The 22,324-nt window shown below is 48.1% G+C and overlaps 1 protein-coding gene across 2 annotated transcripts in view, besides 10 other annotated features; it reads right to left on the bottom strand.

The window, feature by feature from the left end:
- Positions 1 to 3,958, bottom strand: part of PPP2R1A (protein phosphatase 2 scaffold subunit Aalpha) — a 39,467-nt gene extending 35,509 nt beyond the window's left edge. For both annotated transcript variants that reach the window (NR_033500.2, NM_014225.6), the window contains exon 1: positions 3,836 to 3,958. Coding sequence is in view for 1 of the 2 variants with exons in the window: in NM_014225.6 (NP_055040.2) it covers positions 3,836 to 3,913 (78 nt within the window). In the remaining variant the exon portion in view is untranslated. The remainder of the gene's footprint in view (positions 1 to 3,835) is intronic.
- Positions 1,010 to 1,510: an enhancer, noted in NCBI's record as "H3K4me1 hESC enhancer chr19:52695753-52696253 (GRCh37/hg19 assembly coordinates)". NCBI's record gives its function as "activates a minimal SCP1, AML or CMV promoter by ChIP-STARR-seq in naive H9 embryonic stem cells {active_cell/tissue: H9 hESC(naive)}" and the evidence as "EXISTENCE:reporter gene assay evidence [ECO:0000049][PMID:30033119]".
- Positions 1,862 to 1,991: an enhancer, noted in NCBI's record as "active region_15042". NCBI's record gives its function as "activates an Ori minimal core promoter by ATAC-STARR-seq in GM12878 lymphoblastoid cells {active_cell/tissue: GM12878}" and the evidence as "EXISTENCE:reporter gene assay evidence [ECO:0000049][PMID:35858748]".
- Positions 3,433 to 4,400: an enhancer, noted in NCBI's record as "NANOG-H3K27ac-H3K4me1 hESC enhancer chr19:52692863-52693830 (GRCh37/hg19 assembly coordinates)". NCBI's record gives its function as "activates a minimal SCP1, AML or CMV promoter by ChIP-STARR-seq in primed H9 embryonic stem cells {active_cell/tissue: H9 hESC(primed)}" and the evidence as "EXISTENCE:reporter gene assay evidence [ECO:0000049][PMID:30033119]".
- Positions 3,743 to 3,982: an enhancer, noted in NCBI's record as "active region_15041". NCBI's record gives its function as "activates an Ori minimal core promoter by ATAC-STARR-seq in GM12878 lymphoblastoid cells {active_cell/tissue: GM12878}" and the evidence as "EXISTENCE:reporter gene assay evidence [ECO:0000049][PMID:35858748]".
- Positions 4,313 to 4,532: an enhancer, noted in NCBI's record as "active region_15040". NCBI's record gives its function as "activates an Ori minimal core promoter by ATAC-STARR-seq in GM12878 lymphoblastoid cells {active_cell/tissue: GM12878}" and the evidence as "EXISTENCE:reporter gene assay evidence [ECO:0000049][PMID:35858748]".
- Positions 4,313 to 5,368: a biological region, named in NCBI's record as "H3K27ac-H3K4me1 hESC enhancer GRCh37_chr19:52691895-52692862".
- Positions 4,401 to 5,368: an enhancer, noted in NCBI's record as "H3K27ac-H3K4me1 hESC enhancer chr19:52691895-52692862 (GRCh37/hg19 assembly coordinates)". NCBI's record gives its function as "activates a minimal SCP1, AML or CMV promoter by ChIP-STARR-seq in naive H9 embryonic stem cells {active_cell/tissue: H9 hESC(naive)}" and the evidence as "EXISTENCE:reporter gene assay evidence [ECO:0000049][PMID:30033119]".
- Positions 4,543 to 4,592: an enhancer, noted in NCBI's record as "active region_15039". NCBI's record gives its function as "activates an Ori minimal core promoter by ATAC-STARR-seq in GM12878 lymphoblastoid cells {active_cell/tissue: GM12878}" and the evidence as "EXISTENCE:reporter gene assay evidence [ECO:0000049][PMID:35858748]".
- Positions 4,623 to 4,752: an enhancer, noted in NCBI's record as "active region_15038". NCBI's record gives its function as "activates an Ori minimal core promoter by ATAC-STARR-seq in GM12878 lymphoblastoid cells {active_cell/tissue: GM12878}" and the evidence as "EXISTENCE:reporter gene assay evidence [ECO:0000049][PMID:35858748]".
- Positions 22,221 to 22,270: a silencer, noted in NCBI's record as "silent region_10993". NCBI's record gives its function as "represses an Ori minimal core promoter by ATAC-STARR-seq in GM12878 lymphoblastoid cells {active_cell/tissue: GM12878}" and the evidence as "EXISTENCE:reporter gene assay evidence [ECO:0000049][PMID:35858748]".

Raw genomic sequence — 22,324 nt, 5'->3', positions numbered from 1 at the left:
TCCTGAGCAGCTGGGACCAAGGCCTGTGTCATCACACCAGCTAATTTTTTTTTTTTTTTTGGTAGAGACAGGGTCTCACTTTGTTGCCCAGGCTGGTCTTAAACTCCTGGGCTCAAGCGATCCTTTCACCTTGGCCTTCCAAAGTGCTAGAATTGGCCAGGGGTGGTGGCTCATGCCTGTAATCCCAGCACTTTGGGAGGCAGAGGCGGGCAGGGAGTTTGAGACCAGCCTGGCCAACATGGTGAAACCCACTCTCTACTAAAAATACAAAAATTAGCTGGATGTGGTGGTGGGCGCCTCTAATCCTAGCCACTCAGGAGGCTGAGGCAGGAGAATCACTTGAACCCGGGAGGCGGAGGTTGCAATGAGCAGAGACGGCCTGGACGACAGAGTGAGACTCTGTCTCAAAAAAAATAAAATAAAATAAAACCAAAGTGTTACAATTAGGCTTGAGCCACCACGTCCAGCAATTTTTCTTCTTAGCAATTACTGCCACTGACATCCCACTACAGATCTACTATCTGTCTCCCAAACCAGAATGTAAACCCCACAAGGGCAGCTTTGCTGTTTTGTTCCCTACTGTATGTCTAGTATCTAAAACAGAGTCTGGCACACAGGAGGTGCTGATAAATATTTGCTGAACAAATAAATCAAGACTACAGGATTTCATGTCCCATGTTCCTTCTAGTATCCTGAACTGTCTCAGACACAATTAAAATGTCTGGCATATGAATATAATCAGCAACCGTGTGTCCCACCCCAGATTCTATTCCACCCTTAGGTCCTACTTCCTTTCCTGGCTCCTTCATTTCTCAGCTGCACAGCTTTGGCCATGTTATTTATGGTGCTTCAGTTTCCTCATCTGGAAAATGTGGACAAGGACAGGACCTACTTCAAAGAGTGATTGTGAGAATTCAGTAAGATCGTCAGTGATATTCCTCTGTACTGTACCTAACATAGAGCAAGCACCCAATAATTTGTTACGCAGATGGTTTAAGTCAGAGGTCAGCAATTTTTTCCCTGCAAAGGGTTAGACAGCAAATATTTGAAGCTTTGCGGCCATCTCTGTTACAACCATGCAACTCTGGGCTGTAGCACAAAAGCAGCCATAGGAGCTTCCAGACAGATGAACACCTCGCGGTTCCTGGGGGGTGGAATGCCTAGGGAGGGCATGGAAGCTCCACACAACTTCCCCCACACCTCACCCTGCATGTGTCTTCATCTGTATCCTTTGCAATATTCTTTAGAATAAACCGGTAAGCTGCCTAGCTCTGATCCTGGCACAAAGACATCTCCCTACAAATGTCTGCTGGTTAGTGGATGGATGGATGAATGAAAAGATGGGAGGATAGATAGCTGAAGGAAGTGATCCTGGAGTTAAAAAAAACAAAAAACTGGCCGGGCATAGTGGCTCACGCCTGTAATTCCAGCACTTTCGGAGGCCGAGGCAGGAGGATCACCTGAGATCAGGAGTCTGAGACCAGCCTGGCCAACACCGGGAAACCCAGTCTCTTCTAAAAACACACACACAAAAATCAGCCAGGCGTGGTGGCCTGCGTCTGTAGTCCCAGCTACTCAAGAGGCTGAGGCAGGAGAATTGCTTGAACCCGGGAGGTGGAGGTTGCAGTGAGCAAAGATCGCGTCAGTGCACTCCAGCCTGGGAAACAGAGCAACAAGACTCCGTCTCAAAAAAAGAAGAAAAAAAAAAAAAGGCCATTACATATCTGTTCCCTCTTCCTGGGAGGCTCTCCCCCACCTTCTTTCAATCTCTTCTCAAACTCTGCATCCTCAGAGGGGCCTTGCCTGATTGGCCTTCTTAAAATGGATCTGCCCCACCCCACTTTGTACTTGCTGTGCCCTCTGCTTTCAGGCGTGTTCTCAAACAGGATCTCAACAAGGCCTCCCCTGACCACACTTTAAAACTGCATGCCCTATATATACCCCATCTCTCTTATTTTTATTTGTCTCCCTAATGCTTATCCCCAGTATACTCTGTTTATTGTCTGTCTCTCCTCACTACAAAATAAACTCCCCAAGGCCTAGAGTTTTTTCTGTCTTGTTCCTGCTATATACCAGTGCTTAGAACAGCGCCCTGCACAGAATAGAGGCCCAATTCAATATGGATTCGCTACCACTACATCCTATTTGTTTCCTTCCCATCACTTTTCAAACACTCATCTATTCAGCTCTGCTGACCTGTTTCACATCTGGATCCTGTATAGCAACTGGTGTCTCCACTATATCCCCAGCATCATATCTCATACATGGCATATATTTACTGAACAAAAGAATTCATACAACCGCCCTATGAACTAGGTAATTAACCCCATTAAAGAGAAGAGGAAACAGGCCTAGAGAGATTAACTAACTTGCCCTTGTCAATCAGTAACAAGTGGAAGGGCCGGGAATACAACCACAACCTGTATGCCACCAGAAACAGTGATATACCAGGAACCTAGGAGGCGAGACCCACGTTTGGCAGGTTACCCAGTGCACCTTGTCCAATTTTATAAATGGGAAAACAGACCTAAAGGGAGGATGGGACCTCTTTAATCACCACTCCCAATAATTACAGCTAATATTTATCGAGCCCTTACAACAGGCCTGACACCATTCTACTTTTTATTTGTGTCATAATTCGTTCAGTCCCTCACAAGTCCCTCCAGCAAGACCAGGACTACAATTAGCCCATATTTTATGGAACACAGAGACCCAAAGCGGTGAAGTAATTTGCACAAGGTCACACAGCAGGTGGGAGGTGGACTTGCAGTTCTAACTGTTCTCAATCCCACACCAGCCCGGCTCAGAGCCTTGGGTCACCTCATCCCATAACCAGGAATGTTCATCCGGGCTGGGCGCGGTGGCTCACGCCTGTAATTCCAACACTTTGGGAGGCCGAGGCGGGTGGATCGCTTGAGGTCAAGAGTTCCCGACCAAGCCTGGCCAACATGGTGAAACCCCGTCTCTGCTAAAAATACAAAAATTAGTCGGGCGTGGTGGCTCGCGCCGGTAATCGCAGCTAATTAGGGAGCTGAGGGGCGAGGATGGTTTGAACCCGGTATGCAGAGGTTGCACTGAGCCGAGATCGCGCCACTGCTCCCCAGCCCCAGCCTGGGCGACACAGAGACTGTCTCAAAAAAAAGAAATAAATAAATGTTCATCTGCTTAGCAAATCCCTCAACCCCTATCCTGGTCAATGGGAGGATCCGGGGAGATGGGGAGGCGGGTTTCTACAACCTAATTCGCTCCTAAACTTGGCTAGTCCCCACCTTTGGTGGGGGGGTGTTTTTGCGTCCCCGTCCTCTTAGGACACCTAAACCAAAATGAGAGGCGGAGGAAGAGCAGGAATTAGGATGGCAGGCCTTCGCCTCTCGGTCCCCACTTGGCCCAGCAGTCGAAACCCAGAAAACAAAAAAACCTTCCCAGGTCCCGACCCACCCGGCGGCCCTCCCCTACTTGGAGCAAGTCATGCGCGCCCCACATCCCCAAGAGGCCATTCAGAGGCCGCCGCCAATCACGGAGTCCTCCTCTCTCCCAGACCCAGTCCGCAGACCCCAGCCCTGGCCACAACCTCCCAGGACCGCGGACCGCCGCGCGCACAGGGCAGGCCCGGGACCCTCGAGGCTAGCGCTGGCCCCCGCCCTCCACTGGGCCGACACCCAATCGGGAGCGCCGTCTCAAGGAGTCCGGGCAACCGGGGAGATAAGAGACGCACGCTGATTGGCCGTCGCCCCCTTCCGCCACTCCCAGCGAACGCTGAGTCTTCTCCGCGAGGGCCGCCCGTGCCCCCAGGTACCCCTCCGCGTCTTCCCCAAGTCCCCCGTAGCCTCCGGACCTGAACGTCCTCATTGCGGAGTTCGTCTATGAGCACCGCGATGGGGTACAGCGAGTCGTCGCCGTCGGCCGCCGCCATCTTGGCTCCGTCCCTTTCCTGTCAGACTGCGGCCAGCGCTGTGCTGAAACGTGGGGGGGGCAATGCTGGGAGAAGAAGGAAGGGCGGGCGTGGGGGCGCCCGAGCCAGTTTACAGGGGCTGCTCCACGGCCATTGGCCGCGCTACCCAGGGCTAAGCTCGCGTTTCTTTGGTCCGGACTTGTGAAGTCCCGCCCACTTCCGATTTGCCATTGGTCGAGTGAACAAGATTTGACTAGTTTGAGCCTAGGAGAGGGGGAAGAAAGCGGAAGTTAGCCGTGTCCTAGCGACCAAGATTGTACCCGCCCTGGTCGCTGCTAACAACGACCGAGACGAGCAGTAGTTTCTAGCCAATGAGGGGCGACATGGGGAGGAGGCTAAGCCTGCCCTTTCTTGAGTCCCCGGGAAGGCTTCTGCGCGTGCGTCGGTGGTAATACGTGACGTCCTGTGGGGAGCTGGAGGGTGTGCAGGTTTTGGGTTACCAGGCCGTGGTTCCGCTGGCTGGCTGGCTGGCTCTCCGCGCCGTTGCGCGGCAGGAGGAGGGAGTGAGACTTTGATTTGTGCTTGATTTATGCCAAGGCCCAGAGAAGGGAGCGACTTGCCCTTCTCTCTTTTTTCTTTTTCTTTCTTTTTTTTTTTTTTTTTTTTTTACTTTTTTAAAGACAGGGTCTCGCTCTGTTGCCCAGACTGTAGTGCAGTGGCAGGATCTTGGCTCACTGCCGCCTGGACCTCCCCGAGCTCAAATGATCCTCTCGCCTCAGCCTGCAGAAATAGCTGGGACTATCGGCGCGCGCCGCTAGGCCCGGCCAATTTTTAAAAAAATGTTTGTGGAGACCGAGTCTCACTGTGTTGAGCTCAGTTGCCTTGCTGTTTGGATGAAACCCAAGCCCCTCGGGCTGGTATTCAATACCCTGTCTAGGCGCGTCTCCCATCTGTTTTTTACCTTTTATCTGATGTCCTGGAGAATTACAGCTGCCTGAGCACTTCTTGCGTTTTCATGCCAGCAAGCCTCCTTGCCCAAGCTGTGCGTTCTGCTAGGGGTGCCTTTCATATTCACTTCTGAGATCTCTGCATAAATGCCTCCCCTTTACTCCCTTTCCTCTCTGTCTTCAGGCTCTGTTCTCTAGGCTTCCAGAGCCACAGAACCCCTCTCTCTGTCTCTCCAGTCCCATCTATCTCTCTGTCTCTCCAATCCCATCTCTCTCTCTCTCTCTCTCCAATCCAATCTCTCTCTCTGTCTCTCAATCCCAGAGCCTGGGCTGTGACTATGTATTCGAATTTGTTTCCTCCATAGAGTGGGAGCAGGATTGGATCTGACTAATCTCTGTTTTTAACCTCTTCAACACAGCCCTACCCCCCCACCGCAATCTTAGGACCACTCTAACTGAGGGAGTTGAATGGGGATGGGAAGGCCTGGGATGCTCTTTCCTCCTTTATTCTGCTACTTGAAGGGCTAGGCTGAGCTAGCACTCTGACAGATCTGAATACCCACAGCATCTATTTCTTTTTTCTTCTTTTTCTTTTTCTTTTTTTTTTTTTGAGACGGAGTCTCGCTCTGTTGCCCAGGCTAGAATGCAGGGGCCCGATCTCGGCATACTACAGCCTCTGTCTCCTGGGTTCAAACAATTATCCTGTCTCAGCCTCCAGAGTACCTGGGATTACAGGCGCCTACCACAACGCCCGGTTAATTTTTGTATTTTTAGTAGAGACGGGGTTTCACCACTTTGGGCCAGGCTGGTCTCAAACTCCTGACCTCAGGGTGATCTGCCTGCCTTGGCTTCCCAAAGTGCTGGGATTACAGGTGTGAGCCACCGCACCCGGCCTTTTTTTTGAGGCGGAGTTTCGCTCTTGTTGCCCCGGCTGAAGTGCAGTGGCTCAATCTCTGCTCACTGCAACCTCCACCTCTCGGGTTCAAGCGATTCTTCTGCCTCAGCCTCCGGAGTAGCTGGAATTTACAGGCATGAGCCACCACGCCCGGCTAATTTTGTATTTTTAGTAGAGACGGGGTTTCACCGTGTTGGCTGTCTTTGGTCTCGAACTCCTGACCTCAGGTGATCCGCCCACTTGGACTTCCCAGAGCGCTGGGATTACAGGTGTGAGCCACCGTGCCCGGCCCAGCATCTATTTCAAATACCCTTACCCACTGCAGTTAGGAAACTGCTGCTCATAAAAGTGGGGATGGGGTTGAATATTTCAGTCCCAGCCCTCCCTATTCCCAGGACTCCTCTCAGCCCCAAGGTCTCTGAGGCTAGGGATCTTTTTAGCTATGCGTGCCTGTCTTGGTGTCAGGCTGCTTGGGATGTTGGGCTGGTGGCCTTTGAAGTGCTTAGGGCCTAGGAATTTTCAGAGGCTTAAATGAGGCATTATAAATCTCAGAAACAAAATAAAAACAAATTATGGATTCCAAAATGCAAAACAAAACTGCAAACTTTAATAAGTATTTAACAAATACCTATACAAATCAATACCTATACAGATCAATACCTATACAGATCAATACCTATACAGATCAATACCTATACAAATCAATACCTATACAGATCAATGCCAGTGATAATAGCTACAGTAAAGTGTATTCAGTAAATTAATTCATTTAACCCTGACAATAACTCTATGATATATGTAAAGTAGCAGCATCATCCTAATTTAATGGATGAGGAAACCGAGGCATAGAGAACTTTAGGAATTTGTCCAAGTTCTCATAGATGGTAATAGTGGTGCTGGAATTTGTTTGTTTGTTTGAGACAGGGTCTTGCCTTGTTGCCTAGGCTGGGAGTGTAGGGACGCAATCTGTTCTGTGCTCAGTGCAGTCTTGATCTCCCAGGCTCAAGTGGTCCTCTCACCTCGGCCCCCCCAATGCCCGGTAGCTAAGACTAAAGGCATGTGTGACCATGCCCGGGTAATTTTTTAATTTTTGTAGAGACCCCTGGGGTCTCACTGTGTTGCCCAGGCTCGTCTCAAACTCCTGGGTTCAAATGATCCACCTGCCTTGGCTTCCCAAAGTGCTGGGGTTACAAACAGGAGCCACCCCACTCATCGGGTGCTGGAATTTGAACCTGGGCAGTCTGACTCCAAAGGCTTGCTTGACTAAAACTCAGCTTTAATATAATGATACAATCCAGGTGTGGTGGTGGCTCATGCTTGTAATCTGAACACTTTGAGAGTCCAAGGAGGAAGGATTGCTTGAAGCCAGGAGGTAAAGACCAGCCTGGGTAACATAGCAAGACCCCTGTCACTGCAAAAAAGAAAGAAAGTTTAGCCGGGAGTGGTGGCACATGCCTGTAGTACATCAGGTATATCCCTGTAGTACTCAGGAGGCAGAGGCAAGAGGATCACTTGAGCCCAAGAGATCGAGGCTGCAGTGAGCCATGATCACACCACTACACTCTAGCCTGGGCAACAGCCAAGACCCTGTCTCAAAAAAAATTAAAATAAAATAGAAATACATATATATGTGTATGTATATATATATATATATATATATATATATATATATATATATATACATACACACACACACACATATATATGTGTATATATATATATATACACACACATATATATGTATATATATAAAATATTTGATGGGGGATTTTGGATTATTTTACTATGCCTGAGTTCATAGTGGGGTGGGGTGTACAAATGCAAGAGATTCTGGGACTAGGAGACATTCCTGATGTTGGGTCTTGGGCTTTCCTAATCCTCAGTTTCCTTTTTTTTTTTTGAGATGGAGCTTCACTCTTGTTGCCCAGGCTGGAGTGCAATGGCGCGATCTCAGCTCACCGCAACCTCTGCCTCCCAGGTTCAAGCGATTCTCGTGCCTCAACTTCCCCAGTAGCTGTGATTACAGGCATGCGCCACCATGCCCAGCTAATTTTTGTATTATCAGTAGACATGGGGTTTCTCCATGTTGGTCAGGCTGGTCTCAAACTCCTGACCTCAGGTGATCCGTGCGCCTTGGCCTCCCAAAGTGCTGGGATTACAGGCGTGAGCCATCACACCTGGCCTTTTTTTTTTTTAATTTTAAAAATGTACAGACGGGGGTCTCACTATGTTGCCTAGGCTGGTCTCGAACTCCTGGGCTCAAGTGATCCGCCTTGGCCTCCCAAAGTGCTGGGATTACAGGTGTGAGCCACTGTGCCCGGCCCTGATCCTCAGTTTCTACATATGTAAAATAGGAAAGTCCACTATTTGATAGATTATTGCATAAAATATCGGACATACCAACTATGGATTATTAAAGAACTTTCATAAAAACCACTTAGATCTGTATGTATGGAGTAAGAGAAATGGGGACGATATATGTTGAATGGAAAGTGGAAGTTGCAACGTGTCTTAGTTCAGGCTGCTGTAACAAAATACCATAAACTGGGTAGCTTATAAACAACAGAAACTTATTTCTCACAGTTTGGGAGGCCAGGAAGTCTGAGATCAAGGCACCAGCAATTTAGCGTCTGGTGAGGGTCCACTTTCTGATTCGTAGATGGTGCCATCTAGCTGTGTCCTTCTCACATGGTGGAAGGGAGAAGCAAGTTCTATCAAGACTCTTATTTTATTTTTTATTTTCTTCTTTTTAAAATTTGAAACATCCAGCTACTGCACAATACTGGAATTTTTTTTAACAATTTTTTTTTTTTGGAGGAAAAAATGGTGAGATCCTGCCATAGGGTCTCACTATGTCACCCAGGCTGGAGTGCAGTGGCATGACCACAGCTCACTGCGGCCTCAAACTCCTGGGCTCAAGCAATCCTCCCACCTCAGCCTCCTGAGTAGCTGGGACTACAGGCATTCGCCGCCATGCCTAGCTAATTATTTACTTTTACTTTTTTGTGGAGACAGGGTCTCAAACTCCTGGCCCCAACTGATCCTCCCTCCTTGATCTCCCAAAGTCATGGGCTTACAGGTGTGAGCCACTGTGTCTGACAGAATTCTTATAAGGACACTAATCCCATTCATGAGGGCTCCACCATCATGACCTAATGACCTTCCCAAGGCCTTACTACTGAAAATACAGCTGTTGGAGAGGTTGAGACAGGAAAATCAGTTCAATCTGGGAGGCGGAGGTTGCAGTGAGCCAAGATGGCACCATTGCACTCCAGCCTCGGTGACAAGAGCAAAACTCCATCTCAAAAAAAAAAGCAATTTCAGCATCATTTTTTTTTTTTTTTTTTTGAGATGGAGTCTCACTCTGTCGTCCAGGCTGGAGTGCAGTGGTGCAATCTCAGCTCACTGCAGTCTCCACCTCCTGGGTTCAAGTGATTCTCCTGCCTCAGCCTCCCGAGTAGCTGTGACTACAGGCACGTGCCACCATGCCCAGCTAATTTTTGTATTTTTAGTAGAGACGGGGTTTCACCATGTTGGCCAGGATGGTTTCGATCTCTTGACTTCGTGATCCGCTTGCCTCGGCCTTCCAAAATGCTGGGGTTACAGTTTTTTTTTTTTAATCTTTGGAAATTAACTAAGAGTTTGCAGCAATCTAGGGATGATATTCATCGCTTTCAAGGAAAACAGCTGAATCTTGGGAAGAATAGCAAGCTTTGTGGGTTTTTTTTTAACTTGCCCTATTTCATTGTCCCTCCACTGATCCACGGTAGACTTGAAAGCCAGCAGTCTCCGTCAGAGAGGAACAGCAACCTGGCAACCATTGGCAGGAGGAGAACAGGGCTGGAGTCCCTTCAAAGTCCCAGTCCCAGGAAATTGTCATTATTTGCCTTGTCAAGTGACCCCCCTGTAAAACCCTACTTGCAATGCTCTTTTTATTTGTCCTGTCTAGAAGCTCACTCAGCCTGAGTAGTTCTCTCTACCCTACCCAGGATGGTCTCAAACTCCCGGACTCAAGCAATCTGCCTGTCTCAGCCTCCCAAAGTGCTGAGATGACAGGCATGAGCCACCGTGCCCAGCCAGGGGATCTTTTTGTTCAGAAGATTGACTATTCCCGTGTATTAAAGGGAAATGTACACTATGTTGGTAGATAATTCTCCCAGGGCATCTCACATATCTTCACATTTTTTAAAGCTTTTGTTCCAGACTATCTTATCAAGAATGTTTTTGGGTTTTTTTTGTTTGTTTGTTTTTTGAGATGGAGTCTTGCTCTGTCATCCAGGCTGGAGTGCAGTGGCTCAATCTTGGCCCACTGCAACCTCCCCCTCCCGAGTTCAAGCAATTCTCCTGCCCGAGCTTCCCGAATAGCTGGGATTACAGGCACGTGCCACCATGCCTGGCTAATTTTTTGTATTTTTTTAGTAGAGACGGAGTTTCACCATGCTGGCCAGGCTGGTCTCAAACTCCTGACCTCATGATCTGCCCATCTCGGCCTCCCAATGTGCTGGGATTACAGGCATGAGCCACCGCGCCCGGCCTGTTTGTGTTTTTTCGTTTGTTTGTTTGTTTGAGACGGAGTTTCGCTCTTGTCGCCCAGGCTGGAGTGCAATGGCACAATCTCGGCTCACTGCAACCTCCACCTCCTGGGTTCAAGCAATTCTCCTGCCTCAGCCTCCCAAGGAGCTAGGATTACAGGCGTCCGCCACCATGCCCAGCTAATTTTTGTATTTTTAGTAGAGACGGGGGTTTTACCATGTTGGCCAGGCTGGTTTCGAACTCCTGATCTCAGGTGATCCACCAGCCTCAGCCTCCCAAAGTGCTGGGATTACAGGCATGAGCCACAGCGCCCGGCCAAGAATGTTTGTATAGCAAACGGTTTAGGAAGATAGCAACAGCGAGTCCCCATGGCCAGAGGCAGATTTGTTGCCTAACCACTGTAAAAAATATATATAATGATGCATATGTCAGAAGCAAAGGTTGGGGAGGTCTTCCTGTGGCCCTCTTAAAAGATTGCTTTATAAGCTCAGGATTCTTCATTCTGGCACACACTCACTGCATTACACACTCACTGTATGCAAAGCATCTGTCCAGACCCTTTCTCATCAGTCCTGTTGGACTTGAAGTGCAAGGGGATTGACGTGAGTATCAAGTTTTTGCTTCTTTGCTGTGTTGTCAGTAATAAAGTCTGTTGGACCTGACACCGGAGTCTTATATCTTCTTCAAGCAACCTTGAATTTTTTATTTTTTTTTTTTTTTATTTTTATTTTTGAGACAGAGTCTCTCTGTTGCCCAGGCTGGAGTGCAGTGGCACAATCTCGACTCACTGCAGCCTCCATCTCCTGGGATTAAGGGATTCTTGTGCCTCAGCCTCCCGAGTAGCTGGGATTACAGGCATGTGCACCACTAAAAATACAAAAATTAGCCAGGCATGGTGGTGGGCTCCTGTAATCCCAGCTACTCAGGAAGCTGAGGCAGGAGAATCGCTTGAACCCAGGAGGTGGAGGTCGCAGTGAGCTGAGATCACACATCACTGCACACCAGCCTGGGCAATAGAGCGGGACTCCGTCTCAAAATATAGAAATAGCCGGGCGCGGTGGCTCACTCCTGTAATCCCAGCACTTTGGGAGGCCGAGGTGGCGGATCATCTGAGGTTGGGCGTTCGAGACGAGCCTGACCAACATGGAAAAACCCCGTCTATACTAAAAATACAAAATTAGCCAGGTGTGGGGGCACATGCCTGTAATCCCAGCTACTCAGGAAGGCTGAGGCAGAAGAATCGCTTGAACCCGGGAGGCGGAGGTTGCAGTGAGCCGAGATCACGCCACTGCACTCCAGCCTGGGCAACAAGAGCAGAACTCCATCTCAAACATAAATAAATAAATAAGCTGGGTATAGTGGCATCTGCCTGCGGTCCCAGCTACTGTACTTGGGAGGCTGAGGTGGGAGGATTGGTTCGGTCCAGGAGATTGAGGTGAGGCTACAGTGAGCCATGAATGTGCCGCTGCACTCCAGCCTGTATGACAGAGCAAGACTCTGCCTCAAAAAAACAAAAGAAAACAGCCGGGCATGGTGGCTCATGCCTGTAGTCCCAGCTACTCAGGAGGCTGAGGCAGGAGAATCGCTTAAACCCTGGAGGTGGAGGTTGCAGTGAGTCGAGATTGTGCCACTACACTCCAGCCTGGGCGACAGAGCGAGACTGTCTCAAAAACAAAATAATATTAACGGGAAATAGTATTGGCAAGGATGTGGAGAAAGGGAACCCTTGTACACCATTGGTGGGAATGTAAATTGGTAGAAAACATTATGGAGGTTCCTCAAAAAATTAAAAATAGAACTACCAGGTGATTCAGCAATCCCCCTTCATGGTATATATCCAAAGGAATGAAATCAATATCTTGGAGAGAGATCTGCACTCCTATGTTTATTGCCACAATAACCAAGATGTGGAAAAAACCTAAATGTTCACTGATAAATGGATAAACACACACACACACACACACACACACTATTCAGCCTTTAAAAAAATGGAAATCTAGGCCAGGCGTGGTGGCTCACGCCCGTAATCCCAGCACTTTGGGAGGCCGAGGCTGGTGGATCACCTGAGGTCAGGAGTTCAAAACCAGCCTGGCCAACATAGTGAAACCCCCGTCTCTACTAAAAATACAAAAAACTAGCCGGGCATGTTGGTGGGTGCCTCTAATCCCAGCTACTCGGCAGACTGAGGGAGGAGAATCGCTTGAACCCAGGAGTTGGAGGTTGCAGTGAGCCGAGATAGGGACATTGCACTCCAGCCTGGGTGACAATAGTGAAACTCCGTCTCAAAAAAAACAGGCCAGGCACAGTGGCTCACGCCTGTAATCCAAGCACATTGGGAGGCCAAGGCGGGCAGAACATGAGGTCAGGAGTTCGAGAGCAGCCTGGCCAGCATGGTGAAACCGCATCTCTACTAAAAAAATACAAAAAAATTAGCTGGGCATGGTGGTGCACACCTGTAATCCCAGCTACTCGGGAGGCTGAGGCAGAAGAGTTGCTTGAACCCAGGAGGTCGAAGTTGCAGTGGACCAAGATCGCACCACTACGCTCCAGCCTGGGCGACAGAGTGAAACTGCGTCTCAAATAAAAAGGAAAAAAACGGAAATCTTGTCATTTGTGATGACTTGGACGAACCTAAGGGACATTATGCAAAGTAAAATAAGACAGACACAGAAAGACAAATAACATATGATCTCGTATGTTTTTTTTTTTTGAGACAGAGTGTCGCTCTGTCACCCAGGCTGGAGTGCAGTGGCACGATCTCAGCTCACTGCAAGCTCTGCTTTCTGGGTTCACGCCATTCTCCTGCCCTCCTGAGTAGCTGGGACTACAGGCGCCCACCCCCATGCCCGGCTAATTTTGTTTTTTTATTTTTAGTAGAGACTGGGTTTCACTATGTTGGCCAGGCTGGTTTTGAACCCCTGAGCTTGTGATCTGCCTGCCTCGGCCTCCCAAAGTGCTTGGATTAGGAGCGTGAGCCACCGCGCCCGGCCGTATGACCTCATTTATATGTGGAATCCAAAATAGTCAAACACACAGAAGCAGAAAGCAGAATAGTGGTTGCAAGAGGCTGAGAGGTGGGAGGAAATGAAAAGGTGTTGGTCAAAGTGTGCAAAGTTTCTCATGAAGAGAAACTTTTTTTTTTTAATTTCATGGGGAAATTAAAAAAGCAAAAAGCAAAAAAACAAAAACAAAAAGGAAAGTGTACAAAGTTTCAGTCCTGCAAGATAAACAAGTTCTGGAGGCCTACCGTACAACATAGGGCACATGATTAACAAATACGGCGTTGTACATTTAAAACTTTGCTGAAAGGGTAGGTCTTATATAAGATCTTATGTTATCACAAAAGGACAAACAAAACCAAAGCGGAGTGAAGAAATGAACTGGAAGGGAATTTTTGGAGGCAATTGATAAGTTTATGGCATTAGTTGTGATAATAGTTTCAAGGATGTATACTTATTTCCAAACACGTGAAGTTGTATACATTAAATATCTACAGTTTTTTATATGTCAATCATACCTCAATAAAGTAGTTTTTCTTTCTTTCTGTCTTTCTCTTTTGAGGTGGAGTTTTGCTCTTGTTGCCCAGGCTGGAGAGCAATGCATGATCTCAGCTCACTACAACCTCCACCTCATGGGTTCAAGCAATTCTCCTGCCAAGTAGCTGGGATTACAGGCATGTGCCACCACGTCTGGCTGATTTTGTATTTTTAGTAGAGATGGGGTTTCACTGTGTTGGTCAGGCTGGTCTCGAACTCCCAACGTCAGGTGATCCAGCCACCTAGGCCTCCCAAAATGCTGGTATTACAGGCATGAGCCACCAGACCTAGCCTAATAAAGCATTTTTTTTTTTTTTTTGAGACGGAGTCTCGCTCTGTCGCTCAGGCTGGAGTGCAGTGGCATGATCTCAGCTCACTGCAAGCTCTGCCTCCCGGGTTCACACCATTCTCCTACCTCAGCCTCTGGAGTAGCTGGGACTACAGGCGCCCACCACCACACCTGGCTAATTTTTTGTATTTTTAGTAGAGACGGGGTTTCACCATGTTAGCTAGGATGGTCTCGATCTCCTGACCTCGTGATCCACCCGCCTCGGCCTCCCGAAGTGCTGGGATTACAGGCATGAGCCACCGTGCCCGGCCATAAAGTAGTTTTTAAAAGCTCAAAGAACCCTGCAGAGCTAAGATTCCTAGGAAAAAAAAAAAAAAAACTTAAAGCAACAAAATAATGTTGCCATTTAAAACTAACTGCTCTCATAAGGGACACAATTATGTTAAAGGGAAGACTCACATTCTCCAAATCAAAATGAGTTTAAGTGTACAAATTGGAGAATAGATTTGGGAGAAAATTGACCTATATAGATGGAGAACATAAAATGTTGAGGGAGAGAGGAACCAGGACAGAGAAGAGCAGGACAGCAGGGTAAGGGGCTGCACAGGTAGAAGGGAAGAGCTTCAAGCCCCCAATGCAAGAGCAGCCCAGAAGGGACTGGAAGAAAAATAATTACAATAAGGTTACGAAACTGTTTCCCATGGAGCTGGATGGCATCTCTTTCCTTGTGTGTCAGCCATGCAGTGTCTTTAATAAAGGCCAGGGTTGGGCACGGTGGCTCACACCTGTAATCCCAACTGTTTGAGAGTCCAAGGCAGGAGGATCACTTGTGGCCAGAAGTTTGAGGCCAACCTGGACAACATAGTAAGACCCCATCTCTCTCTTAAAAAAAAGGCCCAATATGGTGGCTCATGCCTGTAATCCCAACATTTTGAGAGGCCAAGGCAGGAGGATCACTTGACCCTGGGGTTTGAGAACAGCCTGGGCAACATGGTGAGACTTCGTCTCCACAAAAAAATTCAAAAATTAGCCAGGCATGGTGGTGTGTGCCTGTGTTCCCAGCTACTCAGGAGGCTGAGACAGGAGTGTCACTTGAGCCCAGGAGGTTGAGCTATGATCCCACCATTGTAATCCAGCCTGGGTGACAGAGCGAGACCCTGTCTCCAAAAACAAAACAAAACAAAAAACAAAAAAACTAGCTGGGTGTCAAGGGCGTCCGTGTGAAGAGACCACCAACAGGCTTTGTGTGAGCAATAAAGCTTTTTGCTGGGCGTAGTGGCTCACGCCTGTAATCCCAGCACTTTGGGAGGCCAAAGCGGGTGGATCACAAGGTCAGAAGATCGAGACCATCCTGGCTAACATGGTGAAACCCCTAAATACAAAATACAAAAAATTAGCCGGACGTGATGGCGGGTACCTGTAATCCCAGCTACTCGGGAGGCTGAAGCAGGAGAATGGCTTGAACCCGGGAGGCGGAGGTTGCAGTGAGCCGAGATCACGCCACTGCTCTCCAGCCTAGGTGACAGAGCAAGACTCCATCTCGGGGAAAAAAAAATAATAATAAGTAAAGATGTTTAATCACATGGGTACAGGTGGGCTGAGTCCGAAAAGAGAGTCAGAGAAGGGAGATGGGGTGGGGCAGTCTTATAGGATTTGGGTAGGTAGTGGAAAATTACAGTCAAAGGGGGTTGTTCTCTTGTGGGCAGGGGCGGGGGTCACAAGACGCTCAGTCGGGGAGCTTCTGAGCCAGGAGAAGGAGTTTCGCAAGGTAATGTCATCAGTTAAGGCAGGAGCTAGCCATTTTTACTTCTTTTGTGATTCTTCAGTTGCTTCAGGCCATCTGGATGTATACATGCAGGCTTGGGCTCAGAGGCCTGACACTGGGCCTGGTGGCATACATCTGTAATCCTACCTACTCAGAAGGCTAAGGTAGGAGGATCCCTTGAGCCCAGGAGTTTGAGGCTATAGTGAGCTATGATCCACCCCTGCACCACAGCCTGGGTGACAGAGTGAGACTCTGTCTCAAAATAAAAATGAATAAAAAAAGGCCAAATGGCTAAGTGAGGCTTTTCTGTGAATGTGGTTTTTTGGGGGCTACTAGAAAGAAAAGCTGTGTTAATTTAAAGCAAAGACAAGTTTTACAAGAAAGCTTGAATAGAGGACATAGTAGATCCTGAGAGTATAAATCCCTGGGAATTAGCAAACATTTGTGGGAAAACGATGGACTTTCAGGATGATAGATTAATGAGGTTAAAGTCTAGCTCTCTAAGAGTGATGCTAGACTCATATGAGATCTCAGTTACATGTGGAATAAATAAAGTTTTACCAAGGTATATGTTTTTTATATTTATTTATTTATTTATTTAAGACAGAGTCTTGCTCTGTTGCCCAAGTGGAGTGCAGTGGGGCAATCTCAGCTCACTGCAACCTCTGTCTCCCAGGTTCAAGTGATTCTCCTGCCTCAGTCTCCTGAGTAGCTGGGACTACAGGTGTGCACCACCACACCCAGCTAATTTTTGTATTTTTAGTAGAGATGGGGTTTCACCATGTTGCCCAGGATGGTCTCGAACTCCTGACCTCAAGTGATCTGCCCATCTTCAGCCTCCCAAAGTACTGGGATTACAGGTGTGAGCCACCGTGCCCGGCCCAAAGGGTATGTTTGATATGATGAGGGGATGGAAATGGAATAGATGGAGGCTTAGAGAAGAGTGAAGGGACCACATGCAAGTGGCTCACGCCTATAATCCCAGCAGTTTAGGAAACAGAGGCGGAAGGATCCCTTGAACCCAGGTGTTTGAGACCAGCCTAGGCAACATAGTGGAACCTCATCTCCACAGGAAAAAAAAAAAATTAACTAGGTGTGTGTAGCCGGCACGGACCTAGGGGGACTGAACAAAGGAGGGTGAACGAGGGAATAAAAGACAAAGACAAGAGAGTATATTTGGAAGAAGGGGTCAGGGGGCACTTGCCTCTAGTGGACAAGGACCCTGAGCTTTACACAGTCCTCCTACACAGCCCTCCGTATTTATTAGGCAAAAGAGATAGCAAGAGCGGTGGGGGGTTGTCGGTCAGCAGTTTGATTGACAGCAGGCTTGCAAGACTGCATTCTTCGAACAATAGGTGCTAGATTTCTCAATAGATAACTTCAAGGAGCCCGGTGCCAGGGAGTGAGGCCCTCAGCAAACCTTTTGGTGGCAGGGCAGTGTGAGTGTGCCCACATCCTGCATTCATGATAAACAGTTTGCAGTTTGATAATATAGTCTCCAGCGGAACGCTGAGTTGGTCATGATCCCTTTGGCCTTTTCGGCTCCCAACAGGTGTGGCGGCGCATGCCTGTAGTCCCAACTACTGGGAGGCTGAAGTGGGAGGATCGCCTGAGGCCGGGATGTCAATGCTGTGGTGATCATACCACTGCACTCCAGCCTGGGTGACAGAGCAAGACCCTGTCTAAAAAAGAAAGGAAAGAGAAAAAGCTAAAAGATATAATATTTTTTAGAGTTTAAAAAAAGAACAGTGGGCTGGGCATGGTGGTTCACACCTATAAATCCCAGCACTTTTCGAGGCTGAGGTGGCTAGATAGCTTGAGCCCTGGAGTTTGAAACCAGCCTGGGAAACATAGTAAGACCGTCTCTATAAAAAATCAAAAATTAGCTGGGCGTGGTGTTGTGCACCTGTAGTCCCAGAGTCCCAGCTACTTGGCAGGCTAAGGTGGGAGGATCACTTGAGCCTGGAGGTGTTGAGGCTGCAGTGAGCCGTGATCGTGCCACAGCACTCTAGCCTGGGCGTGCCACAGCATTCTAGCCTGGGCAACAGAGTAAACCCCTGTCTCAAAAGAAAAAGGAAAAAGAACAGTGAAGGGATTGGGTTGGTTTCAGACATTTGCTGGGGTTGGCTAGACTGGATGGTGGGAGGAGGGTCAGGGCTCACCTTCTCCTTTTTATCTCTTCTCCGCACTAAAGAACCTTTGTGCTGTTCCGTCGCTCTGTGATGCAGGCCTAGAACTCTGGTCTGAGATGCACGCTCTCAGTGTCCAGTAGCTCCAGGCAGCAGTGCCAACAAGAGTGCCCTTCAAATAATAGAGAGCCATTTCTTTGTGGGAGGACACTCAGTGCCTATGGCTGAACTCAAACTGGACTCCACGTGGCATAGATTCTACTTTCTACCTCCTGTGTGGGCTGGAGCTCCTCTTGTTTTTCTGCCATCTAGAGGAGAATCAATTTTTATCATTATTTGAGTAAATCAGAGACCCAAGTCAAGTAAGAGATCACTAGATCCCATCACCAGCATAAACTGATATTTGCCTATTTGTTTTCCTTGCTAAATCAATAACATCAGTGCAAAGAGACACCTAAGATCTGTCTCCTCAGAGAATATCATCCTTCTAGAGATACAGGTTGGGCGGGGCTCAGAGTGATACACAGAGGTTTTTTGTTGTTGTTGTTTTTTTTTCTGATACAGAGTCTCACTCTGTCACCCAAGCTGGAGTGCAGTGGCACAATCTTGGCTCACTGCCACCTCTGCCTCCTGGGTTCAGGAGAATCTCCTGCCTCAGCCTCCCGAGTAGCTGGGATTACAGGTATGCACCACCACGCCTGGCTAATTTTTGTATTTTTTTATTTAGTAGAGACGGAGTTTCACCATGTTGGCCAGGCTGGTCTTGAACTCCTGACCTCAAGGGATCCGCCTGCCTCGGCCTCCCAAACTGCTGGGATTACAGGCATGAGCCATCGAGCTCGGCCTAAACAGAGCTTTTATCCAAAAATTCCAATCTATGTATGTGTGGGAGACAGATCTAGGAAAAATTCTAGCGTCTTTCAGTGGCCCTGGAGGAAATTATTAAGGGGCAGCAAGATCCCTGCAAGAGAGCCGAGTGCAACAGTATTTGTTCATAAGATACCTTCCCACGTCAGCTGTCTCTAGGCTAAACTTGTGTAATGGTGTTGATCCGAAAAGTAATGCAGAGCCTCTAAAAGCCTCTGATCATATGCAAAAGATGAAGTTCTGGTCTCAGGGAGAAGAATCCATCCATAGAATGTCACACTCCTGTGGGTCACAGCAAAGGACCACTGACTGAAAAGTCAATTGCGGATCACATACAGATCAGCCTTCTTTGAGTTTCTCGAGGAAGGAAAAATAGTATTTATTTATTGAGACGAAGTATTGCTCTGTCGCCCAGGCTGGAGTGCAATGGTGCCATCTCAGCTCACTGCAACCTTCCTGTCCTGGGTTCAAGAGATTCTCCTGCCTCAGTCTGAGTAGATGGGATTACAGGCGCCCACCACCATGCCGGGCTGATTTTTGTATTTTTGGTAGACACTGGGTTTCACCATGTTGGACAGTCTGGTCTTGAACTCCTGACCTCAGGTGATCTACCCACCTCAGCCTCCCAGAGTGCTGGGATTACAGGCGTGAGCCACCATGCCCAGCCCTTTTTTAAGATTTATATTTCTTTCTTACTTAATTACCTACTCATCTGAAGGAAATTTTTTTTTTTAAGACGGAGTATCACTCTGTCCCCAGGCTGGAGTGCAGTGGCGCGATCTCGGCTCACTGCAACCTCCACCTCCCAGGTTCAAGCGATTCCCCTGCCTCAGCCTCCCAAGTAGCTGGGTCTACAGGTGCGTGCCACCACGCCTGGCTAATTTTTTGTATTTTTAGTAGAGACGGGGTTTCACCATGTTAGCCAGGATGGTCTCGATCTCCTGACCTCGTGATCAGCCCCCGTCAGTCTCCCAAAGTGCTGGGATTACAGGTGTGAGCCACAGCCCCCGGCCTTGGAAAAATATACATTTTTTAAATTTTATCTACTTTACAGTTTGGGCGGCCAAGGCAGGAGGCTCACTTGAGCCCAGGAGTTCAAGACCAGCATGGACAACAACGTGAAACCCTATCTCTACAAAAAATTTGAAAATTAGTCAGGTGTGGTGGCACATGCCTGTAGTGCCAGTGTATTAGTTTGTTCTCACATTGCTATAAAGAAATACCTGAGATTGGGTAATTTATAAAGAAAAGAGGTTTAATTGGCTCATGGCTCTGCAGGCTGTACAGGAAGCATGATGCTGGCATCTGCTTGGCTTCTGGAGAGGCCTCAGAAAACTTACAATTATGGCAGAAGGTGAAGGGGAGGCAAGTACTTCACATGCCCAGACAGGAGGAAGACAGAGAATGGGGAGGTGCCACACACTGTTTTTTTTGAGCCTAGGTTGGAGGGCAGTGGCACGATCTTGGCTCACTGCAACCTCCGCCTCCCGGGTTCAAGCGATTCTCCTGCCTCAGCCTCCCAAGTAGCTGAGATTACAGGTGCGTGACACCACACCCGGCTAATTTTTCTTTTTTTTTTTTTAAGAGACAGAGTCTCACCCTGTCACCCAGGCTGGAGTGCAGTGGCGCGATCTCGGCTCACTGCAAGCTCTGCCTCCCAGATTCAAGCAATTCTCCTGCCTCAGCCTCCCGAGTAGCTGGCACTAAAGGCATGCGCCACCACACCTGGCTAATTTTTGTATTTTCAGTAGAGATGGGGTTTCACCATGTTGGCCAGGCTGGTCTCAAACTTCTGAGCTCAAGTGATCCATCCACCTTGACCTCCCAAAGTGCTGGGATTACAGGCATGAAGCACTGCTTCCAGCCAAATTTCCTCTTATCAAAACATCAGTCAGATTGCATCAGAGCCCATTCTAACAAGCTTAGTTTAACTTAATAGCCTCTAAATGCCCTATTTCAAAATACAGTCATATTCTGAGGTACTGGGTGTTAGAACTTAAAGACAATGATTTATTTTATTTTATTTATTTATTTATTTTTTGAGACAGAGTCTCGCTTTGCCGCCCAGGCTGGAGTGCAGTGGCTGGATCTCGGCTCACTGCAAGCTCCGCCTCCTGGGTTCACGCCATTCTCCTGCCTCTGCCTCCGGAGCAGCTGGGACCACACGCACCCGCCACCACGCCCGGCTAATTTTTTGCATTTTTAGTAGAGACAGGGTTTCACCGTGTTAACCAGGATGGTCTCGATCTCATGACCTTGTGATCCGCCCGCCGCGGCCTCCCAAAGTGCTGGGATTATAGGCATGAGCCACCGCGCTTGGCCAACAATGATTTTTTAGGGACGTGATTCAGCTCATAACATTCTGTACTCTGGACTCCCAAAATTCATGTCCTTCTCACATGCAAGATCCCTTCACCCCCATCCTAACATCTCAAAAGTCTTATTATTATTATTTTTTGAGACAGAGTCTCACTCTGTTGCCCTGGCAGCAGTTCAGTGGTGCAAAGACAACTCATTGCAGCCTTGATCCCCTGGGCTCAAGAGATCCTCCCACCTCAGCCTCCCAAATAGCTGTGACTATAGGCGTGAGCCACCATGCCTGGCTAATTTTTGTATTTTTTGTAGAGACAAGGGTCTTACTATGTTGCCCCAGGTTGGTCTTGAATTCTTGAGCTCAAGCAATCCTTCCACCTTGGCCTCCCAAAGAGCTGGGATTACAGGCCAGAGCCACTGCTCCTGGCCCATTTCAAAAGTCTTAATCCATTTCAGTATCAAACTCTAAGGCCCAAATATTACCCAAATATTATCTGAATCACATATGGGTGAGACTCAAAGTGTGGTTCATCCTGAGGCAAAATTTCTGTCCAGCTGTGAAACTGTGAAGCCAAAGAAGCTATTTGCTTCCAAAATACAATGGTGGGACAGGCACAGGATAGACCGTCAGCCCTGGAAACCACCCTTCTACTCTGTTACTGTAATTTTGATGTTTGTAGATTGCACATGTAAGTAAGCACATGCAGGATTTGTCTTTCTGTGTCTAGCACATTTCGCTTAGCATAATGTCTTCAGGGTTCCTGGATCCAGCCACGGCTGCACATCAGATCTTCACGGAGATCCTAGTTCCCTGACTACTGAGTAACTTCAGCCTTAACTGGCTTCAGCCTCACTGGCAAGACCCGATGGAGTCCACCAGGCTCGCAAAAATCGATTTTGACTTAAATCAGTTCAACTTGACAAGAAGAAAACATCTTAGTTTCCAACAGAAGTGGACCACAACTTTAAGCTTTGACCTTAAAGTCTAAAACATTAACTTAAAATAGGCAGGAAGCAACGCTGCTTCACAGGACAAGAAATAGTCACAAATACTCCTAAATCGGGAGAACAAAGACTTGCTGGGTGGAAGGCAGAGCGAATAACAGGCCCCGCCCACCAAACAGGTCCCGCCCACACCGCCCGTCCCGCTTAGCCCAC

The sequence above is a fragment of the Homo sapiens genome, chromosome 19 (genome assembly GCF_000001405.40).
Source record: "Homo sapiens chromosome 19, GRCh38.p14 Primary Assembly".
NCBI lineage: Eukaryota > Metazoa > Chordata > Mammalia > Primates > Hominidae > Homo > Homo sapiens.
This window is presented reverse-complemented; position numbering and strand designations above follow the sequence as displayed.